This window comes from Homo sapiens, chromosome 2 (assembly GCF_000001405.40).
Source record: "Homo sapiens chromosome 2, GRCh38.p14 Primary Assembly".
Lineage (NCBI taxonomy): Eukaryota > Metazoa > Chordata > Mammalia > Primates > Hominidae > Homo > Homo sapiens.
The window spans coordinates 29,454,277-29,479,548 of NC_000002.12; the positions used below are offsets into that span (position 1 = coordinate 29,454,277).

Below are 25,272 nucleotides of genomic sequence, written 5' to 3' on the forward strand. Positions count from 1 at the left end.
AAGAATGCTCAAGTCTTTTATATGAAGTAGTATAATATTTGCATATAACCTACACATATCTTTCCATATACTTTAAATCATCTCCAGATTACTTACAATACCTAATACAATGTAAGTGCTAGGTAAACAGCTGTGATGCTATATTTTAATTTGTATTATTTTCTATGTTGTATTGTTACTTTTTATTTTTTTCCTAGTAGTTTTGATCCTCAGTTGGTTGAATCCACAAATGCAGAACCCACAGACACGAAGATCTGATTGTATATGCTGTGCTGTCTTCCAAATCTAAGGAGACAAGAAGGGCTCAAAATTTGGGGTGTCTTTCCAGTAGAAAGAATGAAATTGCATTGATGAATATTATTTTAATTCTATATATCAATTGCTAATCATATGCCTATATAATAGGCACAAACCAAAACAAAAAACCAAAAACCTTAATTTTGAGATAGTTTTATATTTAAATAAAAGTTGCAAAAATAGTACAGAGAGTTCCTATAAACCCATCACCTAGTACATAAGTGCCTATATACTGGGCACATAATTGGCAATTGATACATATAGTTAAAATTATATACTATTAAAGTTATATACTATTAAAATTAAAGTTCTATACTCCCTTAGTTGTTCAAATAAAAGTCCTATGCGGTTAGTTTCATGTACCTGCTTCACAGATGAGGAAGCGGGCTCAGAGAAGAAAATCACTGGCCCTAATTTACACAATAGGGCCATGAAGCCAGAAACTCAAATCTAGCTCTCTCTCATTCCGAGCTCTTGAAAAGGGTCCTAGACGTCATCTAATCCAGCTCTTCACTTCTTCGCCCCATCTTTCATGTCTATTTCATAATAGACATTTGCAGAAGAGAGAGACGAGACTTTAAGAGGAAAGGGTCCTGGTCCTGGTCTCTTTCACAAGGTGTGGCAGCAGGAGGTGGCGGGAACAGTGTGAAGAGAGCCCAGAGGGACTGTCAGCAGACTGGAGTCCTGCCTTTGTCTCATATTATTTCAGTGGAATCAATGAAGGCATTTGCCTTTTCTGAGCCTTAGCTGTGTCATCTGTCAGATGACGAAGACATGAAAACCCTCTCCTACCCTGGGAGAGCAGCAAGGTGGGGCCTGTGGTCTGATCAGCTTGGAGACTTCTGCTGTCCTGTGTGCGGGGGACAGAAATGGATGTTGTTTAACTGGCTGAAACGCTGTGCCATGCTAATTACATCAACCTCACAATCCTCTCTTTTTTCCCTCCGTCTTCTTTTCACTGCTTCTATTTCTGTCTCTTTTTCTCTCTTTCACTGTCAGTTTTCAAATAAGGACTGTTTTGTTAGCTCCACAATCAAAATGATCTAATTGGCTGCAGAAGGGAACAAGCACAATATCCCCAGGGGGAACCTTCCTCCGGATGCAAGAAAGAAAAGGTCAAAAACCACTTGACTGACTAAGAGAAGTAAGAGAAATGGGAATTCAAAAGCTTCTATTTATAACTGCACAGACTGAAGTTCTGGGCTGTGCCCTTGACTGGGCAATTATGTTGCAGAGACTGCCTTTCCATCTTTGGGTGGCTCTTGAAAAAGAGAACTGACACAACCAGGCTCTTCTCTTACACAGACTCTCTACTCTGTGGTTTTCCCGAGGTCCCTGCACTCCTAGCATTGTGGGGGTGCAAGGAACACAGCCATAAGTTTGAGGCCAAAGAGCTCTAGATTAAAACTGAGCCTGGTGGGAATACCACTTTATATCCATTAGGATGCCTATTATCAATAAACAACAACAACAATGTCCAGAAAATAATGAGAGTAGTGAGTGGGTAAGGTGGAGGAGAAATTGGAACCCTCGTGCATTGCTGCTGGGAATGTAAAATGGTGCAGGGGCTGTGGAAAACAGTTTGGTGGTTCCTCAAAAAGTTAAACATAGAATTGTCGTATGCTCCAGCAATTCTACTCCTGGGCATATACTGGAGAGAATTGAAAGCAGGGAGTCAAATAGATATTTGTACACCCACGTTCATGGCAGCCAAAGTAGCCAAAAAGTAGAAACAACCTGTGTCCATTGACAGATGAATGATTACACAAAATGTGGCACGCACACACACAATGTAATATTATTCAGCCTTAAAGAGGAAAAAAAATTTGACACACACTCCGAGATGGATAAACCTTTAAGACATGAGAAGTGAAATAAGCCAGTCACAAAAAGACAAATATTGTATGATACCACTTACATGAGGTATGTAGAGTAGTCAAATTCATAGAGATAGAAAGTAGAATGCTGGTTGCCAGGGGCTAGAGGGAGAATGAGGACTTATTGCTCAACTGGTACAGAATTACAGTTTTCAAGATGAAAAACATTCTGGAGTTGGATGGCAGTAATGATTGCACAATAATATGAATATACTTAATGTCCCTGAACTGTACCCTTAAAATGGTTAAATGGTAAATTTTATGTTATATGTATTTTACCATAATAAAAAATGGGAATATTACCACCTAGATTGTGGGGTTATTTTTGAGGATTAAATTAGATGTCACATGTGAAATATCTAGAATAATGCTCCATCTCCTAATAGTTGCTCAACGTGTACTGGTTTCTTTCTTTACAGAGAATATACAATTTATACAGAGTGTGCCCTTGCCTTCTCAGTTAGGGGAGAATAACTGAAAAGTGGCCACGCACATAAAGACAAAATAGAACGACATTTCTACTGCAAGATGACCACACTCAAAGAAGAAAGAAAGTAATCACAAGCCAGTCTGGAGACCCTGCTTTCTCCATTGTATGCCTTAAAAACAAACAGCTTCTTGCAGCACACTGAAAGCAGAAAGGCACCGTGGTAACTTTCTCTTGAGTTTAAAACAGAAGGGGAGATGTACCTCTCTGGGTCTGAAAAGTGAAGGGAGTATCCTTCCTTACCTACTTAGTCCACTAGGCCAGCTAACACTTCAGCATTGGCTCGATTGAAATGTAGGAGCTGGAATCTTACCCACCTGGCTGAATGGTGTTTCTGGGTGGTGAGTCACTGCATCTGCCCATCTATGCTCAGGTGAACTTCAGAAATAAGGTGAAGAAGTAAACCGGAAGGGATGAGCCTCGGTTAGGAGTAGGGAGGGCTTCAGCTGCTGCTGGGAAATGGGCTTTCAGGGGATAATTCCAAACAGTACTTCTCTAAGGCTTCTTCCAGATCATTTGCAGTGCATCTATGGCCTCTGTGTATGGACAGGTTTCCATCTGCAGGTCTCAGGGGAACTCTTCCTGCAGGAGCCCAGGTGAGGCCCTGAACCCTATTGTACACTTGTCTAGGTCTGGGCGTGACTCTTTGTCTTCTTACATTGCTCCTTCTCAGATGGTGCCTTCAAACAACACTATGAATCAGGGAGCTTGGGTTCAGATCACGTTTTCAAACCTGTCACATCTACATATAGAGATAAATAAAACCAATAACAGTGGTTTATCAAGAGTCTACTATTTGTCAGACTGTACTGGGTGTTTTACATACATTATTTCATTCACTTCCCACAATAATCCTTTGATGTCGGTATTATGATTTCCTTCTCATGGATGAGGAAACTGATGTTTAGAGAGGTTAGGTGCCTTGTACAAGGTACTAAAACAAAAAAATCCTTCACACATACTTTTCTCCTGTCCAGCCACAGTCTTTCAGCATCTTGAAAGTACTATCATCAATACTTTAGGAAGTCAGGAAGGTCTCAGATGCTACTCTCACCAATAGCCTTTGTGAAAGCTTACCGGTGTGCTTAGCTTATAGGAAAAAAAGACTCTAAGAATGACAAATGGAGACATGTAATCTACTTTTTAAACCTATAATCGTGTTTAACATGTGACTCCCACAGTGTTTTACAATGTGTATACATATACATACATGCACACATACATGTACACACACATAGCTATGTAAACTTAAACGTATATGCTTGGGTATACATTTGTTTACATTTGACAATCATTTCAGGTACAGTTATGTAACTTGGGACACACAGCCTGGAATAATCATCCATAACTTGATTAATTTGCTTCAAAATCAACCAGGAAAACATCTGCTCAGTCACACCCGGGGACTTAGCTTCAGAGACGCTATGTTGTAATATTACATAGAACTTTGAAGCATTCCATTAAGCGTTTATAGTAATTTATCATCTGCACTTTCCAATGCTCTGGGCTAAGGAGATGTCGCTAATCATTACACCTTGATTGGGCTGTCTTTCATTTGAGGGACTCCATGCCCTTTATAGATACTGCATCAATCTTGCAAATGCCTTCAACACAATCTTGAGGCTTAACATTTCTTATTGACCTACAGAATGCATTGGGAATTTCCTATTGTTCCCTGTGGATCAAATTAGGAGTTTCAATGATGTCTATCACAAGCAGACCTGGGTGATAGTGGCTTCATTTCACAGACAGTGACTGAACAACTGAACCATAGCTGAAGCCTCCATTAAGATTGAATTCTCCTGGTGCTGGAGAAAATTGTCAGTAAGAATAAAAGTTGCTGCCATGATTGAGTGCTTACACTGTGGAGGGGCTGTGCTAAACAGAAGGTACAGCTACCAGTCAGCAACCTGCCCTTTTGTTTGGTGTTCCCCTTTCTGATACTCCCAAATGCCCATTGTAGGTGCACATCTACCCAAGAACACCTGCTTTTGCCTCACTGAGTGGTTCCCAGTCATACAGGACCACACTTTTCCATTTTAATAGGCTTATAGGTCACTTGGGAAATGTTTCAAAATATAAGTTCCTGGGACTCACCTAGAGGTCCACCTTCAGTAGGACTGAATTTATATTTTAAATTAACAATCCTTCTGATGCCATCTAACATATGCCTTAAAAACAAACAGCTTCTTGCAGCACACTGAAACTTGCAGACTTTGATAACTGCTGACTTAGGACATTCAAGGTCATTCTTATTCTCCATTGAAATTTTCCCCTTTGTTCACTCCTTAATTTACCGAGAGGTTAACATAATGAATGATCTCATTTCATTGGTGCTTTTATAGGTTGAAAGTCACTTTCTCCAACATCCACATTTGAAGCACATGGCAGCCATCTAAACTTCAGGCAGGAATAGGGACAGACATGGCGGACACCAATGGACACTCCTCTGCTGCTCCCTCTCTTCTGTCAGCAGGACGCTGATGTTTTCAGAGGTTGGGCTGGAGATTCCTTAAAACTTGGGAACATAAGTCCCTATCTAATCCTCAGGCGGAAATCTTTGATTGTTGCAAACTCGTTATTTTTGGCAACTGATTGGCTAAGGATGGGCATGTTCTAGCTAATGATTTTTTTTTTTTAAGTGTGCTGAGGGAGAATTTTTCTTCCTGAATTAAAAACAAACAACTTCCAGAGGTAGAGGACTTTGCTTCTTCTTTCTTCCTGGAACTTATAAATGAATAGCCATCTTGTGACACTGAAGTAACAAGCATACAAATAAAAGCCAAAATGCTAAGTATGATGGGACAGAAAGATAAAAACAGCTGAGGTCCCCAACAATATCACTGAATGTCTAAAAAACATTTAGTAACTGCATACCTCTGAACTTATTTTTAAGTAAGAAAAGCGAATCTCTGTTTAGATCACCATAAACTGAATTTTATGTTACTTTCAGCTAAAAGCATTCCTGACTGATATAGAAGTATTATAATGATTAAAATCCATGTTTTGTAAAAAGCAGCCTCAGAAAGGTTATGTGACTCACTCCAAATCTCTAAGCAAGTACACAGTGGATCCTCAGCTGGAACTCAGCTTGACTCATTGCAAATCTTGACCCATCCACCCTGGAGCCTTGCTCCACAGTGAAGAGGTTTTAGTGACTACCTTGCAGTAGGAGTGGAACGAACACAGCAAGATGTGGGGGCTGAGCTCCTGATCTCACTTCAGCCAGAAGAATTCTTGTTAATATATTTTCTAAATTGGGCTTCCATGTAAAATACAATTTAAAGAAAGAGTTTTGATGCATGAAAAAATCGTTTGAAATACAATAGCATTATGCCATGCTGCTTTCTTCTTAAATGTAAGGCATTGTAGATACAAAGAATGCAATACTTGATCATTGTTCTAAGCACATTTGTTACCCAGCGGAGGACATAAGTCATATACACATGCAGGCACGCCTTGTTTTATTGCACTTCACAGACATTACATTTTTTACAAACTGAAGATTTGTGGCAGCCCTGCATAGAGTAAGTCTATTGGCACCATATTTTCCAGCAGTGTGTGCTCACTTGTCTCTGTGTCACATTTTGATACTTCTTACAATATTTCAAATTTTTTCATTATTATTATATCTGTTCCAGTGATCTGGGATCAGTGATCTTTGATGTTAGTATTGTAATTGGTTTGGGATGCCAAAAACCACGCCAAAATAAAACAGTGAATTTAATCAATAAATGTTGTCTGACTGCTCCACCGACATGCCATTCTCCATTTTTCTCCCTATCTTCAGGCCTTTCTATTCCTTGAGACACATCATATTTAAATGAGGCCAATTACTAGCCCTACAATGGCCTCTAAGTGTTCAAGTGAAAGGAAGCGTCATATGTCTTTAACTTTAAATCAAAAGTTGGAAATGATTAAGCTTGGTAAGGAAGGCATGTTGAAAGCTGAGACAGACCAAAAGCTAGGCCTCTTGCACCAAATAGCCAAGTTGTGAATGCAAAGGAAAAGTTCTTGGAGGACTTTTAATAAAAAGTGTTACTCAAGGGAGCACACAAATGATAAGAAAAGTGAAACAGACTTATTGCTGCTGTGCAGAAAAGTTTCGGTGTTCTGAATAGGAGATCAAATCAGCCAAAATATTCTCTTCAGCCAAAGCCTAACCAAGAACAAGGCTCTAACTCTCTTCAGTTCCAGGAAGGCTGAGAGAGGCGAGGAAGCTGCAGAAGAAAAGTTTGAAGCTAGCAGAGGTTGGTTTATGAGGTTTAAGGCAACAAGCCATGTCCATAACATAAAAGTACAAAGTGAAGCAGCAAGTGCTGATGGAGAAGCTGCAGCAAGTTATCTAGAGATCTAGGTAAGATCACTGATGAAAGTGGCTACACTACACAACAGATTTTCAATATAGATTAAAACTTCCTTCTATTGAAAGATGCCATCTAGGACTTTCATAGCTAGAGAAGTCAATACCTGGCTTCAAAACTTAAAAGGACAGTCTGACTCTTTTGTTAAGGGCAAATGCAGCTGGTGACTTGTAAGTTACAAACAATATTCATTTACCATTCTGAAAATTGTGGGGCCCTTAAGAATTATGCTAAATCTACTCTGCCTGTGCCCTATAAATGTAACAACGAAGTCTGGATCACAATACATGGTTTACTAAATATTTTAAGTCCACTGTTCAGACCTATTGCTCAGAGAAAAAGATTCCTTTAAAAATATGCTTGTTGACAATGTACCTGGTTACACAAGGGCTCTGATGGAGCTGTATAAGGAAGTCAATATTGTATTCATTCCTGCTAACACAACATCCATTTTGCAGCCCATTGATCACGAAGTAATTTCAACTTTCAGTCTTATTATTTAATAAATGCATTCGTTAGGCTGTAAGTGCCATAGATAGTGATTCCTCTGATGGATCTGGGCAAAGCAAATGGAAACTCTTCTGGAAAAAAAAAAGGACCATTCTAGGTGTCATTAAGAATATTTTTGATTTGTAGCAGAGGTCGAAATATCAACATGGACAAGAGTTTAGAAGAAGTTGATTCCATCCCTCACGGATGACTTTGAGGGGTTTAAGACTTCATTGGAGAAAGCAACTGCAGGTGTGGTAGAAACAGCCAGAGAAGTAGAATTAGAAGGAGACTCCAAAGATGTGTCTGAATTGCTGCAATCTCATGATAAAATTTGAATGGAAGAGGAGTTGCTTTTTGTGGAAGAACAAAGAAAGTAGTATCTTGAAATCGAATCTATTCTTGGTGAAGATATTGTTAACATTGTTGAAATGACAAAAAGGATTTAAAATATTTCATAAACTTAGCTGATAAAGCAGTAGCAGGGTTTGAGAGGATTAACTCTAAATTTGAAAGAAGTTCTACTGTGGGTAAAACGCTATCAAACAACAACACATGCTACAGAAAACTCTTTCATAAAAGGAAGAGTTAGTTGATGCAGCGAACTTCATTGCTGTCATTTTTAAAATTGCCACAGCCATCCCACCCTTCAGCATCCACTACCCTGATTAGTCAACAGCCACCAACATTGAGGTCAGACCTGCCACGAGCTAAGAGATTCTGACTCACCGAAGGCTCAAATGATTGTTAGCATATTTTAGCAATAAAACATTTTCATATTAAGGTATGTACATTTTTTAGACATAATGCTATTGCACACTTAGTAAACAAAACTCATATGCACTGGAAAAACCAAACAATTTGTGTTACTTGCTTTACTGAGATACTTGCTTTATCGTGGTGGTCTGGAATATCTTAATGAGGTATGCCTGTACCATACTGAGAAGAAATGCAAGAGTTAAACTAGAGTCCTTTTAAAGCAATGGCTCCTTTTTGCTACAATGTGTCCTTGAAAACAGTGTTATAAAGCAAATCATTATAAAATGATTCCTATTTTCCCCATAGGAATTATGTCATAAAAAGGGTTATGCTGTTAACCAAAGACTTAGGATCCAATTAATTATAAATATAGCCAATAACAAGGCACAAGAGCAAAATGTAACATCATCTGAAATAATAAAATGATGATCCAAATCCTATAAAATGGGAATAAATATATAGAACATATTACAGCACATTTGGGCTGATTGTATAATCAAAGTAGTCTTATAACATATAATCGTAAAAACCTACACCATAAATCCGACCTAAGACTAACATGCTAACAATAATAAACCAAAAACATGTAATGAAGGATAATTTTATTTCCTTCTTTTAGACCTTAGATGGATTTTTACAGGATGGTTTAGATGCCCACTTCTCTTAACATGTGAAATACCCAAGGAAATTAGTGCTTACGTGCTCCCTTGTTTTGGATTGACTGTTGCAGCAAGAAGAAGGATTCCAGACATTCCATTCACTTGAAATACCACAGAAAATGATGACTGCTGTTCACAGTAGATATGGTATGTTTCATACTGAAAATATGTTTTAATATGAAAGTCTGTTCTTTGGTTTATTCAGAGCTCCTCAAAAACTTCTACTTTGGCTCATGAGGATTAACTGCTACAGGGATTGCTCTCATGTTACAAAGAAATAGAAAGCTGGAAATCTAGAAAAAATGGTGGGTTTCAGCCACTGAACAACAGACAGCACAAGACTTGAGAGAAGGGAAACAAGTGATCCTTGAGAGAAAGGAAACAAATGAAGTGACACTTATAATTTTTCCAGATTATTGCCTGGAGGCAGTTTCCAGGTTGCCATGCAGAGAGAATAAAACCAAACACAGCTTGGTGACTAAGTCAAGGTTGGGATGGGAGATGTAGGGGAGAGAGAGAATATGAGTGTTCTGGAAATCTGTAAAGGCGTCCCCTTGAGTCTTTGGCTGAGTACTAATTCATGCATGCATGAGGGAAAACTACCACCGGGCAAGGAAAGCAGTACCAGAAATCATCAGGCTGAACAATTCCTAGATCCAAGGCTATGAACAGTCTGTGTCCCAACCAGCCAAAGTAGGTAGATCTAGTTACTCATGGGTCATTCAGTAGAGCCCTCAGAAAAGTTACACTTTCCCAGTATTAGGATTAAATTAGTCCCACAATAAAGGCTACTCTGAGTCTGACACAGCAAAACTTAACAGCAATCTTTGAAACTATCAAACTGATTTACAAATTACTTAACTGCATGCCAGATCAAAATCCAACACTCTTTAAGGGAATATTAGCAAAATTCAGCCTTGATGATATAAAATCACAATGTCTAGTATCTAACCAAAAGTTACCAGGCATTCAAAAAAGAAGAAAATTGGACCTATAATTAAGAAGATAATCACTCAGTGGAAACAGAGATAGAAGTCAAAGCGATAATAGAATTTGATGATCTTAGAACAGCTTATTATAAACCTTATAAATATACTTACTAATATAAAGCAGGGGGCCAAAAACCTTTTCCATAAAGAACTGGAGTATAAATATGCAAATATTTTAGGCTTTGCAGGTCGTCAACTATTCAACTCTCCTGTTGAGTCATGAAAACAGCCATCATAATATACTGGCAAATGGGCATTATTGTGTTCAAACACAAATTTATTTATAAAAGCAAGTGGTAGAACAGAAGCCTGTGTGTGCCTTCATGTAAAGGAGACATGGGCAAATCAGGGGAAAAATGAAAGACTGAAACAGGCCCAGATGGAAATTTTTGAGATAAAAAATATACCGGATGGGACTAAAAGCAGATTAGAGAGTGTAGGGCAGTGGTTCTCAACAGGGGCCCGTTTTTTACTAGGGAACATTTGGTAATGTGAGGACGTGATTTTTGTTGTCAGAAATGAGGGGAAGGTGCTATTGGCATCCAATGGGTACAGACAAAGGATATTGCTAAGCATCCTATAATTCACAGGACAGCTCCCCCAACAAAGTATTAACTAGCACCAAGTGTTAATAGTGACAAAGTTGAGAAACCTTGTTGTAGAGGAACAGATCATTAGACTTGAAGACAAAGCAATAGAAACCATCCAAAATGAAGCTCAGAAAAAAAGACTGGAAAAAATTAACAGAATATCAGTGACAATGTCAGTCGAATATATGTGTAACTGGAATCCCAGAAGGGAGGATAACTCTTTGAAGAAATAATAGCACAAAGATTTCCAAATTTGTTGAAAACTTTAAGTTCACAGAGCCAAGATGCTTAACAAACCCCAATCTGAAGAAACGTAAAGAAAATTACATCAAGATCCATCATAATCTAAATGCTTAATATGAGTGATAAGAAGAAAATCTTAAGGTACCTAAACAAAAAGAGATACAATATATGCAGAGACCAAATATAAGAATGGCAGCAGACTCATTGTCAGAAGTCACACAGGTCAAAAGACAATAGAGCAATATCTTTAAAGTGTTAAAAGAAAAAAAGATTGTCAATTTAGGATTCTATATTCAACATAAACATCCTTTCAAAATGAAGAAAAATAGTTTTTTAGACAAAATTCTATAGGGACTTTCACTATAAGGAACGTTAAAAGTAGGCCAGGCATGGTGGCTCATGCTTATAATCCCAACACTTTGGGAGGCTGAGGCAGGTGGATCACTTGAGGTCAGGAGTTTGAGACCAGCCTGGCCAACATGGTGAAACTCTGTCTCTACTAAAAATATGAAAATTAACTGGGCGTAGTGGTGTGTGCCTGTAATCCCAGCTGCTCAGGAAGCTGAGGCATGAAAATCACTTGAACCTGGGAGGTGGAGGTTGCAGTGAGCTGAGATTGTGCCACTACCCTCCAACCTGGGCAACAGAACAAGGCTTCATTTCAAAAAAAAACAAAAACAAAAAAAGTTAAAAGTAGTTCTTCAGGCAGAAGGCAAATGATATCAGATGAAAAACTGGATCTACCTAAAGAAATGAAGAACGTCAGAAATGGCAAATATTTAGGCAAATTAAAAAACATTTTGTCTCACTTTTAATCCCTTTAAAAGATTTGAATGCTTAATGAAAAAATAATGGCAATATATTATGAGTTTATAACATATGTAGAATTAAAATGTATTACAATAATAGCACAAAGGCTGGGGGTAGAGATTGGAAATACAAGAATGTAAAGATCTTATACTATACATAGTCATATTATTTGAAGGCAGCTTGTCAGAAGTTTAAGATAAACATGAAAAACCCTAGAACACCCACCAAAATTATATTAAAAAAGAAAGATATAGTTAATAAAACATAGGTAAACTAAAATGGAATCACAAACAAATACTTCAGTAAACTGAAGCTCTTCATGGTTCCAGGGCTTCTGGACATCATGTGGCCTGATTTCTTCCTTCTTCTTTAAAAAGCCGTGAAAACACTAGTACAGACCTCAGAAAAGAATCTCCCAAGCCTCTGTGTTGACATCTTAGTTCCCGTCATCTATTGTTTCTATGTCCAGAGTCATGGGAACCACATACACACACACACTAACTCACACACATAGACACACACACACTCTCACACACTCACACTCACCAAGCTTTATCTGGAGAACACATTTCAAATATGCCTCACAAATATATGCACAATAATTTTCAAACACATATGGGTGCTATCACATGGAAATCTATTCTAAAATGTCATTATGTTTTTTAATCAATCAATATTTATGACTAACAATTAGGTTCTCATTCATGGAAGTCATTAAAAAGGGCTCCTCAATTTTAAGAGGCTAGGAACCATGGAACCATTGTGATGAATTAAAGGGCTTGGCCTTGAGGGTTTGAGACTGTTTCTTGTAAGTAACAGGCAATTGCTGATGGCTTCTCAATGGTGTGTCATATGATAACAGTGCTCTCACAAGTTTTACATTTGATGAAAATGAGGTAGAAAAAAGCTGAAGAGTTTGTTTTGAGGCTGACTAAAACTAATAAAATAATCATAAATCAATCACTCAGTTGGTAACTTGTCTGCAAGACAGTTCTCTGGATCATTGAAGTGATTAGAGCACATATTTTACATCTGATAATTTGTGTTTACACTTGATTGGATAAGCCATTTGTTGATGGGTTATTATGATATCTTTAGTGGACATCTGTAATTTTGTGTGATGTGTGATCAGTATTTCTTCTTTTTTGGGAACTGCCGCATCTCCAGTTGTTTCTGGTAAGGCTGTTAATAATTTCACCCCTCCTCCCCTTCTAAGCTGGCAATACCCATTCACCTCACATACAATAGTTGATACAGCTTGGACACATGATCCAAGAAGGGCTGATACTGACATGCTGTGTGAAGGAAGGGATGACTTTTGTTTTGGGATCATGAGGACCAAGAGCCTTGTTTGACCAGGGCTTCCAATGAGCAATCTTATGGAGAGTCTTATTGATAACAGAAAAAAAAAAAAAAATGGCAAGCCAAGTTGAGGATAAAGAGTCCTGAAAACAGTTACTAATTTATTGTTTAATTAATTAAAAGATACATATTGAATATTTGCTATGTTTTTGGCACTGTTGCTGGCCTTGGGAATATGGCAGTGAACAAGCCCTCAGAGCCTGAAGCCTAGTTTCACTATTTTAGATTTTTCAGTTACATAAGCCAATTAGTCTTCCTTTTCCACTTAGTTTATCATTTTCTGCCATCTGATGGAGTCCAAGTACATTCTCTATTAATTCTGGTTTTAAAAGGTACAAGGATGATTTTAAGAAATGAGCCTGCTCTAAGACCAGAGCTTGGAATCTGCTCATTCTTTCTGGTATAAAAGCCTATCCACTAGACCAGTTCCTCTCAAAGTGTGGCTCGGGGGCCCTGAGATCTTTTCAGGGACCCTCAAGATTAAAGCTCTTCTCATAATAATACTAAAATATCATTTTTCTTTTCTACACACACTCTCTCATGAGTATATTACAGAGTTTTCCAGAGGCTACCTGACTTCTATCAAGTTAGACATTAGAGAGATTTGCAAAAATGTACAACAACTCTTCTCTCTAAATTTATTTTAGTTTTGGTAAATATGGTTACTGTTTATTAAAATAGGTTATTTACACCAATATTGTTATGTAACATATTTATTATTATTTGTAAATGAATAGGTAAATATTTTTAAAATTTCTCTGTTTAATATCCAACATGATAAGAATCGATATATATAACTCACATGAACAAAATTCTTTGGGGTCCTCAATAATTTTTTTTTTTTTTGAGATAGAGTCTTGCTCTGTTGCCCAGGCTGGAGTAGTGGCACGATCTCAGCTCACTGCAACCTGCGCCTACCGGGTTCAAGTGATTCTCTTGCTTCAGCCTTCCAAGTAGCTGGGACTACAGGCACGTGCCACCACACCCAGCTAATTTTTGTATTTTCAGTAGAGATGGGGTTTCACCATGTTGGTCAGGCTGGTCTTGAACTCCTGACACAGTGATCCACCCACCTCGGCCTCCCAAAGTGCTGGGATTACAGGCGTGAGCCAATGCACCTGGCCAATAATTTTTAATAGTGTAAAGGAGTCCTGAGATAAAAATTATGAGAACTGCTGACCTAGACCAATGCTGAGCACTTGGGAGATTAATAAATATATTTTAGGGTGAAGTTGAGGAGCCATGGAGATACAGATTTGAAGAATATTGGCTTGCTAGCGATATGAGCCCATAATAAGTTCATGAACATACATTTCTCTTTTCAATCCTTCTAAATGAAAAGTTCATGGTTCAGAATGAATAGCCAGCTCAGCTCAGTGGCTCATGCCTGTAATCCAACACTCTGGGAGGCCAAGAATGGTGTATTGTTTGAGCCCAGGGGTTCAGGACCAGACTGGCCAAAATAGTGAGACCCTTTCTCTACAAAAAATTTGAAAAAAAATGTAGCTGGGTATGGCAGCATGTGCCTGTGGTCCCAGCCACTCAGGAGGCTGAGGTGGGAGGCTGGCTTGAGCCTGGGAGGTTGAGGCTGCAGTAAGCTATGATCACACCACTGCACTCTAGCCTGGGCAGTAGAGTGAGACCCTGCCTCAAAAAAAAAAAAAAAAAAAAAAAAAAAGAACTAGCACACCAAAGAACTACAGTAACTGCCTTACCAATAACCCATTTATGCCTGAGGTTGCAATTTTTTGAACTTTTGCAATCAGACTTTGGCAATGACCTTGAGCAGTAGGATATAAATAACACTCACATGCTTGGTGTTCCAATAATGGAACACTAGGCATAAATGGGCTAATGGCACAGGCTGAAGGCTGATATGTCTTGGAAATAGTCAACCCTAATGAGGTCTGAGAGGGTAAAGATCATACTATGAAGCTTTCCTAAAGGAAGCTGCTCTTATTTGCAGTCTGAGTGGAGGAGTAGGCACCTGGTCAATGAGATAATGAAAAGATGAGTTTCCAGAACCATTCCACATCTGTGGACATGTTGGGTCAATGTAAGGAATTAGCCAAATCAGTGATCACCAGCCACTATCTTGTGCCAAATTGCCTTCTCAATACCCAGAGCCCCTAATTTGACAATTGCTGAGAACCAGTGACATCAACAGTAATATCTAACAGGAAAGTGGCAGGTGGTCTTCAGATACTAGTTTTGATAAGGGCCCACTTGCATTTATTTTTAGGTCCATCTTTCAGGGTGTTCTCTCTCAGAAAGATAAAAATCCCATTCAGTCCCAGCATCTTTTCACAGGCATGCTGCACCTCTGTGGTCATGAAATCTCTCCTTACTCTTTCCTAACTTTGGCCCTTTCTGTAGCTCTCTTAATGGCACCATCCCCCTCCTTGACATTGAAGTTCCCAGCCACAAAGGGTTTGACTTCTTCTTTCTTGAAAATTCCCACTCATCATCCCCCAGCCTCCCAACGAGTTTTTAATAAGTTGTGGATTTCTGCCAATTCTATGCAGTCATTTAGTCATTCATTGAGACTTCACAGCCCTAAATCATCAAATCCTGATTGGATCAAGGTTTCTGCCTGCCAAAAGAAAATGAAACTTCTCTGAAGAACAACAACCTTTAGAGCTTCTGGAATTCAATAAAATATTACCAGAAAGGACAGGAAACAGAGCCAAATGACCCAAAGCCAATATAAAAAGCAATGGAAAAAAATAAAAACAGACCTTGAAGTCTGATATTGGAGTTATCAAATATAGACTTTAGAATAATTATAATATGTTCAAGAAGACAGATGAGCAATAAAGAATTTCATTAGAAAACGGGAATTTATAAGAATCAAATGGAAATTCTAGAAGTGAAAAATACAATAACGAATTAATAATTCAATAGATGAGTTTAACAGTAGATTAGACACAAGAGAACAGAAAATTAGGATACTGGAAGAGAGACTCACAGAAAATGCCCTGATTGAATAATAGGAAGAAGAAAAAAAAGACAGAATATACAGAAAAGAATTCAAGAGACACGTGAGTCACAATGAAAAGGTCTAAAATACATATAATTTGAAGTCCCAGACAAGAGGAAAGAGGGAAAGGACAGAGGCAATATGTGAAGAAATACTGGCTGACAATTTTTCAAAATTAACAAAAACTTCAAACTTCTCTGTGAGTCCCACATAGAATAAATGTAAAGAAAACTATGCCTAGTCACATCATAATAAAGCTGCTGAAAATCAAAGACAGAAAGGAAATCTTTAAAATAGCCAGAGAGGAAAAGACACATTACCTCCAAACAAGCATTGATAAAACTGACAACTGACTTCAACAGAGGCAAGGAAGGCCGAAAGAGAACAGAGTGATGTCTTTAAAGTGCTAGCAGAAAATGACTGCCAGCCAAGAATTATTTACCCAGTGAGAATATTCTTCAAAAATCAAAGTGAAATAAGACATTTCAGACAAAACAGCTGAATTTTTTTTTTTTTTTGCCAGCAGACCCTTACTAAAAGAAATATTAACGCAAGCTCTTGAAGCAAGAGGAAATTTTTCCCAAATGGAGGCAACAGTCATAGAAGAAGGAATAAAGAGCAATGGCAAGGGAAAATACGTGGAAATATTTAAATGAATTTTGGCTAATTAATATAATAATAGTGTCTTCAGATATGTAAAATATGTGTAGCTGTAAAATACATGACAACAAAAGGATAAAAGAAAGGATGGTGGCTAGTGGAGTTTAAGTAATCAGGTTCTTGCCTTGTTCAGGAGTGGCAAGCATACTAATTTAAGATATACTCTAATGGTCACTAGGGTAACCATGAACAGCATAGTAAAATAATATATAACTATATTTTAATGGAATACACAATTAAGTAGGATACACAGTTAACAGGATGCAAAATTAAATACTTTTAATTATGTTAATAGGATATATAATTAAATACTTTTCTACAGAGAATATTCCAGGCCAAGTTGGCTTTATCAATGAGTTCTTCCAAATATTTAAAGATGCAGTAAAACCAATTTCACACAAACTCTTAGCAGAAGATAGAAAAACAAAGATTTTCTGTCTTGTTTTATAAAGTTAGCATAACTTTGATAACAAAATCTAAGAAGGCTACAAGAAGGAAAAATTACAGGTCAATCTCTCTTATTAGCATAGATGCAAAAGTTCTAGACAAAGTATTAACAGATCGGTATGAATTATATATCAAATAGGTAATACATCACAAAAAGTTGAGCTTATTCCAGTATATAAGGTTGGTTTAATTCTCAAAACTCAATCCATATAACCCACTATATTAATAGAAAAAAGAATAAGCAGTATACAGTTGTCTTGATAAATACAGAAAAAGCATTTGATATCATTCATTACCTATTCGTGATGAAAAACCTCAGCACACTAGGAATAGCAGTTGTGGCAGACTGCATTTTCCAAATATGGTCACAGCAATATTTCCGTTCCCACATGCTCTCACAGAACTTGCAGAGTAGAATGCAGTGGCAATGATGCTAAATAACTTTCTTTTCTTTTTTTTTTTTTTGAGACAGAGTTTCATTCACTCTTGTTGCCCAGACTGAAGTGGAATGGCACAATCTTGGCTAACTGCAACCTCCACCTCCTGGGTTTAAGTGATTCTCCTGCCTTAGCTTCCTGAGTAGCTGGGATTACAGGTGGTCCCCACCACATCCAGGTAATTTTTTGTGTTTTTAGTAGAGATGGGGTTTTACCATGTTGGCCAGGCTGGCCTCAAACTCCTGACCTCAGGTGATCCACCCACCGTGGCCTCCCAAAGTGCTGGGATTACAGGCGTGAGCCACTGCACCCAGCCGATGTTGATGACTTTCAAGGCAAGATCACAGGTGGCACCTGGCTGTCTTGCAGGACGGTCACCCTGGGAACCCACTCACCATGGTATGAGAAAGCCTGAATTAGCCTCTATGGAGAGACTATATGAGAGGCCCAAGTAGTGATGCCACCAGTCTACTGTTGGCATCAACCACCAGAAGTGTGAGTAAACAAGCTTTCAAATGATTCCATGTCCTCAACTTCAAGTCTTCCAGCTCCCCAGTCATTGTGAAGCAGGGGCAAGCCTTTCTTACTGTACCTTGTCTAAATTCCCAATCCACAAAATCTGTGAGTGTAGTAAATGGTTGTTCTTTGCCACTGAGTTTTGGGAAAATTTTTTATGCCATTGTAGGAACTGGAACGGAAGGAAACTTCCTCAATCTGACAAATGGTATCTCTGAATATCCTACAGCTAACTTCATACTTAATGATGAAATATTGAAAGCTTTCCCTTTGAATTAAGGAAGAAGACAATGAGGCTCCCTGTTACCACTTCTAACATACATTTTACTAGTTCTCTTAGCCAATACAATAAGGCAAGAAAAAGAAATAAAAGGCACATTTGGAAAAAAAATAAAATGATCAACTAGAATCAATAGGTGAATTTAACATGGTTTTTGAATACACAGTCAATACTGTATACAACAAAAATTACATTTTTAAATACTAGTCACAAAAGAAAAAATGAATCTTTAAAAATAACTTTTATAAAAACACTTAAAAGTCACAAAAGAGTAAGTTTAAAGAAATATTGGCAAGAATACAAAGAAAACTAAAAACAATTACCTGGAGAAATTAAAGAAGATCTGATAAATGAAAATTTATCATGTGTTAAGGACTGGAAGACTCACTATAGTTAGAATGTCAGGTCTCCTCAAATCTGTAGATTAAACTTAATCCCAATCAAAATCTCAGCAGAATTGTGTGTATTTGTACTGTGTGACAATTTATGAGATGATTCTAAAATACACGTAGAAATGCAAAAGGCAAAGCATGGCAAAGATGATCTTGAAGAACAAAGTTGGAGCACTTACAGTACCAGATATCAAGACATATTATAAAGCTCCTGTATTTAAAACAGTGTGGTACTTGTGCAAATATAGACAAACAGAGAAGTTTGTCTTCTCTGAATGAAGTCCAGGAACAAACCTATTCTTAAAACCACCTGATTCACAGCAAAGATGCCATTGCAATGCAGTGGAGAAAGGAGAATCTTTTCAACATAAATGAGCCTATACCTCTACTTAATGCTAAATGAATTATAGACCTAAATGTGAAAGGAAAAACAATAAAGTTTCTAGAAGATGACATAGAAGAATATATTTATGATATCAAGGTAAGTAAAGATTTCTTGAATAGGATATAAAAAGCAGTAAATGGAAAGGCAAGCCACAGATTTGGAGAAAATATCTGCAATATTCACAATGTATACATCTTAAGGACTGTTGTCTGTAATATATAAAGAAGCCCTAAAATCATTAAGAAAAATACAAACAATACAACAAAAAAGGGTAAAAAGACTTGCACAGGACCTTCACAAAAGAAATATTCAATAAGCATATGAAAGGTGTTCAAAATCATTACTCATCAGGGAAATGCAGGAGTTTGAGACCAGCCTGGCCAACATGGCAAAGCCCCATCTCTACTGAAAAAAAAAATACAAAAATTAGCCTGTAATCTCAGCTACTCAGGAGGCTGAGGCAGGAGAATCGCTTGAATCTGGGAGGCAGAAGTTGCAGTGATCCAAAATTGCACCATTGCACTCCAGCCTGGGGGACAGAGTGAGACTTTGTCAAAACAAAAACAAAAACAAAAACAATACTTCCTATCCACCAGAATGGCTAAAAACAAACAAACGAACAAAAAATGGACCCTACCAAGTTGTTGAGACTATGGAGCACATTCTCAATACATTGCTGGGAGGAGTTAAGTTGGTACAATTACTTTGGCAAACTGTTCCAGAATATCTTCTAAAGCTGACTAGACACACATTTTTACCCTCCTAAGTAAACATCCAAAAGAAATGTATATATGCTCCAAAAGACAAGTATAAGGATAACCTAATTCACTGGATATATTGTGGTATGTTTATACAATGAAATAGTCTGCAACAACAACAAAATTGAATTACTGCTACATACAACTAAACAGGAATATCTCACAGACACAAAATAGTTAATACTATCAAATAAAGTTACACAAAATTTAAAAACAGGAAAATCTAATCTATAGGGAAAGAAGTCAAATAGTAATGATCTTTAAGGGACTGTAATGACTGGGAGGGGGCATAAGATGGCTTCTTACCTGCCGGTAAGTGTTTCACATCTTGGTCCGAGTGGTAATTCCATGAATGATTTCCTTTTGTAAAAATGTATCCACTGACGTGTGGTTTTAGTGTATGTATGCTCTATAACATAAAGCTAGCTTAAAAAAAGGAAAAATAGCAACGACGGCTGGTTGTGCTGATGGTGACAAGGATGACTTCCTAATTCTGAGGTTTGATATTTTTCCAAACGCCAAAGTTGTGTGCTCTATTTAAAATCACATGTAGATTTCCAGTTACCTTGTGTAACTAACTCTACAGAAATAATATCTGAATTTTTTGCCTCTAGGAAAAAATTGTGGATTCAGGAATATGCTGTGTTTCACAAGACAGAACTGCAGTACAGAAACGTATTCGTGAATTAATTTTTTATTCTGTTGGATTTGGGGAGGTTTAGTTCAGGCTGATTTTCTAGTGCGATATAAGTGGGGGAGAGGTGGAGCAAGGGGTGGTTCATCAGATCAAGTTGAAAAGCCAAGATAGAAGCACAAAAGCCTGAACAAATTATCTACTGCGAGGCCTTTGCTGGACGGGGCCTGGCTGCCACACCTGCTGCTGGTCAGGGCCCAGGCACTGGTGTTCACTTTGAAGAGAGGAGTTAGGGAACCCCTTGAAGTTTCTGCAGAAGAAACCGCCAGGCTCCTGTGTACCCCCTGCTCCTGCATTCCTTCTTCTTATCTCCTCCACTCACTCATCTTCCCTATGAGTCTCTGAGCCCTTCCGCTGACTTCCTGCAGAAGCATCAGACAACTCGAGAGGGCGGAAAATGGAGAAGAAAGGCCAAGCAAGGCAGTGGGCGAGGTCAGAGGCCCTGTAGCCTGTCCTGGAGAAACCCCTTCCTTGCTGAACCAGAGCCACCATCGCTGGAAGACCTCAGGCCTCAGGGAGCTCAAGGGGGCAGCAAAAGAGGAAGACTGCCCTTTACTTAATGTCTCCTCCCAACTCCACATCCCCTCAGGTAACACAGTTACCATCTGACTGTGGAAGAAATAGGCCCCAAGAGGTGAACTCTCCTGCCCAAGGTCACACGGCGTAGGTGGCAGAATCCGCCTCTCCCGCCATCTTTTCCCAGAATCCCTCCCTCCACTAAGGGAATCCTTCAATCTCCAGGTCCACACACTGGAGAACATTCCTGAACAGTCTCGGGCCCGCCGGACGAGGCTGCATCTCCAGGCCCTCCCAGACCACACTAGAGGGAGGCAGCTGTCGCCATCCTCATTGTTCCCCTGAAGTGAGTGGCTAAGCCCCTGCTAGCTCTATGTAGAGATCGGCGACCCCCTGGGGCCAATCTCCCTTTGGTCCTGGCCTCTCAGTCAAAGGTTTGGAAAATGTGGCTGGAAATTTAAGACAGCCTAGAGCACAGCTGGCTCCCACTGAGTGAACAGCGCTGAGGCCCCGATAAAGGCTCATTCATCTCTGGGAGCTTCATGCTTGGAAGACTCTGAGTGCCTGAAGAGGAATTGTGCAAACTGCCATCACAATAAACAGAGAGAGAGAGCATGTCTATAAAATCCCAGACAGGCGGCAAATGAGAACGGTGACATCGAGTCTCACAACTGCAATGAAGTGAAAGTCTCTTGGTCCTCCCGTGTGGGGCTGCTTCGGACAGATGGGGCAGGGACAGTGGGGCAGAGACTCAGGCCAGGGAGCAGCCTGCTCCTCCAGCGCTGCCTATGGGCGGGAGTGGTCAGGAGACTCCCTCTAGAACAACTTAGGATGCTGGGACCACCAGGGTTTGTTGCTCACTTTACAGATGAGGAGACACAAGCTGCGGCTCAGACCCAGCCTTTAGCTGCCAACCCAAATGCTGCCCTCTCCTCCCCATGCCTGCAGGCATGCATCTAGTCCTTCATGCATCTGACATACAATGAGCGCATTCTAGGTTCTAGGCACTGCACTAAGCTCTGAAGATCAAACCAAGGCCTAGTTTCTGGCCTGGATGATCCTACAGTACAGTAGGGACATAAAATTACCACAATCATTTTAAACACCAACATTCTTTTCCACTTGTAAAGATAATTGTAGGAAAGATACATTATAGAAAAATATAGAAAATGAATCAAAATATCAAGAAGGAAATAAAAAACACACAGAATCCCACTCTCCAGAGACAATCATGGTATGTGTTTAGGTATATGGAAAAAAACTCCGTGTACCCACAGGCCCCGTGCCTGCAAGAGACAGGGTGTCGGTGGTAGAAGCACAGAAGAGGGAGTGAGTAGCCCTGAGACCCGGGGGAGTTTCCCGGTGGAGAAGGAGGGCTGTGCTTCCCCGACAAGGCACAGGAGGATGCAGGGAAGTGTGCTGCATGGGCTGAGACTCAGAGCGTGTGAGGCTGCCCAGGGAAGACAGGGAGAAGAGACCAGGGAGACAGATTAGGTGTGTAAAAGAGCCCTGGGCTTTGTGGAGAGTTCGATTCCATCCTGGAGCATTTCTTGCTGTGATGTCACACTGCAGAAATTAGTTGTGAGATGTATAGCTAGGAATTTGTTACTAATGACTCTCTGGGTATTGATCACCTTGCCCTTTTATCGTTGGTTGACACTGGAGCAGATTCAAGGAGATCACCATGCACCTCGCCTCACCCTCATTCACATATGTCCTGATAGACCACACAGAGTTGATGCGAAGGGGTGGAGCAGCAGGATCTAGGTGCAGATGTAGACTAGGGACACCCAGGCTAGAAAGGCTGTGGTGTGCAAAGGAAGAAGTGAACCACGAGGGAGAGTTGAGCTGAGCAGTGCAGGCTGGGTAAGATTTGGGCACGTGAATAGGAGCCAAGAGATACTTCCTGGGGTGGAAGGTCTGAGTGGGTCCTAGAGCCTGGAAAGGACATCATCATCACTAACATGGCCAGTACCCCCTCATCCCACTACCCAGAGGCAGCATCATGCTAAAGAGAAAGGGGCTTTGCTATATACCAGCTGTGTGGTCTGGGACACATTTACTTAAGCTTTCTGAGATTCCACATTACAAAATAAATGGCAACACTTGGCTCTCTAGTTGTGGTGAGGATTTACTGAGATTGAAACCATGAAATTGCTTAGTGGAGTTCTTGGCACACATATGTATTCAAGTGATGTTGATTTTCTTTCCTTCCCAGCTAAGCAAGTCAGGAAGTCCCCACCCTCAGGTTCAGAATGTTTTATCAGAGGTGCTATATGATTCTTTATAACCCAGAGTTGGTCCCAGATTTTAAAGGGCATGGACTAAACAGATGGCTTCTCAGTGGTCCCAGATCTTCTTGTCCTGGGACACAGTGGTTCCCAAGCTGATAGATCCTAACCGGCTGCTGGTTTCAGAGGTACAGTGACAGCAGGCAGAGGGATGGAGAGGGATGCGAGGGAACTGGAGGCTCTGTGTGGGCAGGGGCAACAAGAAATGTGGGGACTTCAGATATGGCTAAAAGACTTAGGGGAAATTGCTTCCCTGGCCAGCACCAGGTGGCAATCAGGAAATCAGAGCTGAATGTGAATGTGATTTAGAATCCGAAATCTTGGGTTCTAGCTGGAGGTGCTGTGTAGGAGCCTATAGGCGAAGCAAGGAAGGCACTTCTGCCAGCAGATAACACGTTGATTTTAAGCAAAAAAGAAAAAGACTATTTTCCTGAGTCTGAGTTCAGTATTGATGAGCTGTGCAAAGCACTGTCCTTCTTGATGTATGCTCCTCCATCCATAAAAAATGAAGAGACTGTCTCACTCTCAGCTTCTCAAAGCTCCCCAGGTTTGCTGCCTGTGGCTCCAGACCCAACAGATAGAAATATGAGGATTGATATAATCACACATATGAACAGGAATACAAACACCCATGTGAATGGAAACATACATATGAATATGGCCCATGTTGCCCTCCTCTCATCTCTAGGGGGAGGACAACTCTCACTCCATGTTCCAGTTAGAGTCAATCAGCAAACCATGTTTTACCATACACAGGACTGTAATGATCCTGCTTTCGTATAAAGGGCTTTGCAGCCCCAGAACAGCCTTCACATCTATTGTCTGCCATGAGCCACACAAGCCCCTTCCAGGAAAGGTAGGGTGAGTGCTCCCATCACTGGGCATATATGGAAACAGAGCCTTGGACAGGCGGAGGACTTGCCTCCCTGGTGGCCTTCTTTCCACGACTCCTCCTTCTTTCCATGACTCCCTTACCCTGTACTTAACTTGAGAAGAGCTTTGAAGTAATGAGCTCATGCTGTGCTCTCAAGGCTCCTACAGACTGACGAGGAATAAGTCATACGCATACGCAAGTCAGTTTACACTGCCAGGTGATTGAGGATTGATGCCGATCTGTATCAACGATGAGCATGGACATATTCAAAGAAAGCGGTCACTCAAAGGCTGGGTGGCCTGAGAAGAGGCTTCAAAGAGGACCTCAGTGTTTAAGCTGGGTTTTGAAGGGCAGGCAGGATTTGGAAAGGTCAGGGAGAACAAGTGTGTCCCAGCTTGTGGGAATGGTAGGGGCAGGTGCAGAGGGTGGGAGCATAGCTGGCTTGTGAATTCAGTTACTGTTAAGACATGTCCCCAGAGACTGACTAGCTTCAGGAACACAGAAATAAATCTAGTTTCTGGCCCTGCAAAGAATAGGACCCTAGACCTAAGTGAATGCCGTCTAATGAAGCCTTGCCATGACATCCTGTGTCCTCATAAAAGGGTCCTAGACTGGTATGAAAGAAAGGATGTCTTCGCTATTGTGAGACTGGGCAGCCTGATCATCTTGGAGAGAAAGGGAGTGTGTTAGAGAGAGCTCTAGAGCCTGGGAGCACTCAGGGTTCCCTGAACATCTCCCATCTCCTGTGATGTCCCCGAAATGATGGCTCACCCTGAAGCAGGCAGATCTACACTGCCCTGGGGAAAGACCCTATCCTGAGCTTTCTGGGATGGCAGCAGGAGATAGTAGTAGGTTCTGAGACCTCAACCACAGCCTCAGTCTTTCTTCATACACAGATCTGTTGCCAAGACCTAGGAGGTAGCTAACAAGCAGGCCCAGAGGACGCTTGAACACACAGGCCTGAAACTCATTCTTCACCCGCTTGGTGATTTTGGAATTAATTAAATATCCTATCTTACCAAAGCTTTAGGGTGTTTTGCTCTAGAAAGCTTCTTTTCTCTTAACTAAATTGAAGCCCATAAATGAGAAATACAGTGCATGAAATCTCTGGATGTC

The 25,272-nt window shown here is 39.9% G+C and overlaps 1 protein-coding gene and 1 long non-coding RNA gene across 3 annotated transcripts in view; both read right to left on the reverse strand.

Annotated features, from left to right (window-relative positions):
- Positions 1–25,272, reverse strand: part of ALK (ALK receptor tyrosine kinase) — a 728,813-nt gene that overhangs the window by 261,503 nt on the left and 442,038 nt on the right. The window lies entirely within an intron of this gene.
- Positions 20,458–21,101, reverse strand: LOC105374389 (uncharacterized). Its single transcript, NR_136317.1, has 2 exons — positions 21,078–21,101; positions 20,458–20,837 (listed from the first exon to the last, which is right to left on the reverse strand). It is a non-coding gene; the product is annotated as an uncharacterized LOC105374389 (long non-coding RNA).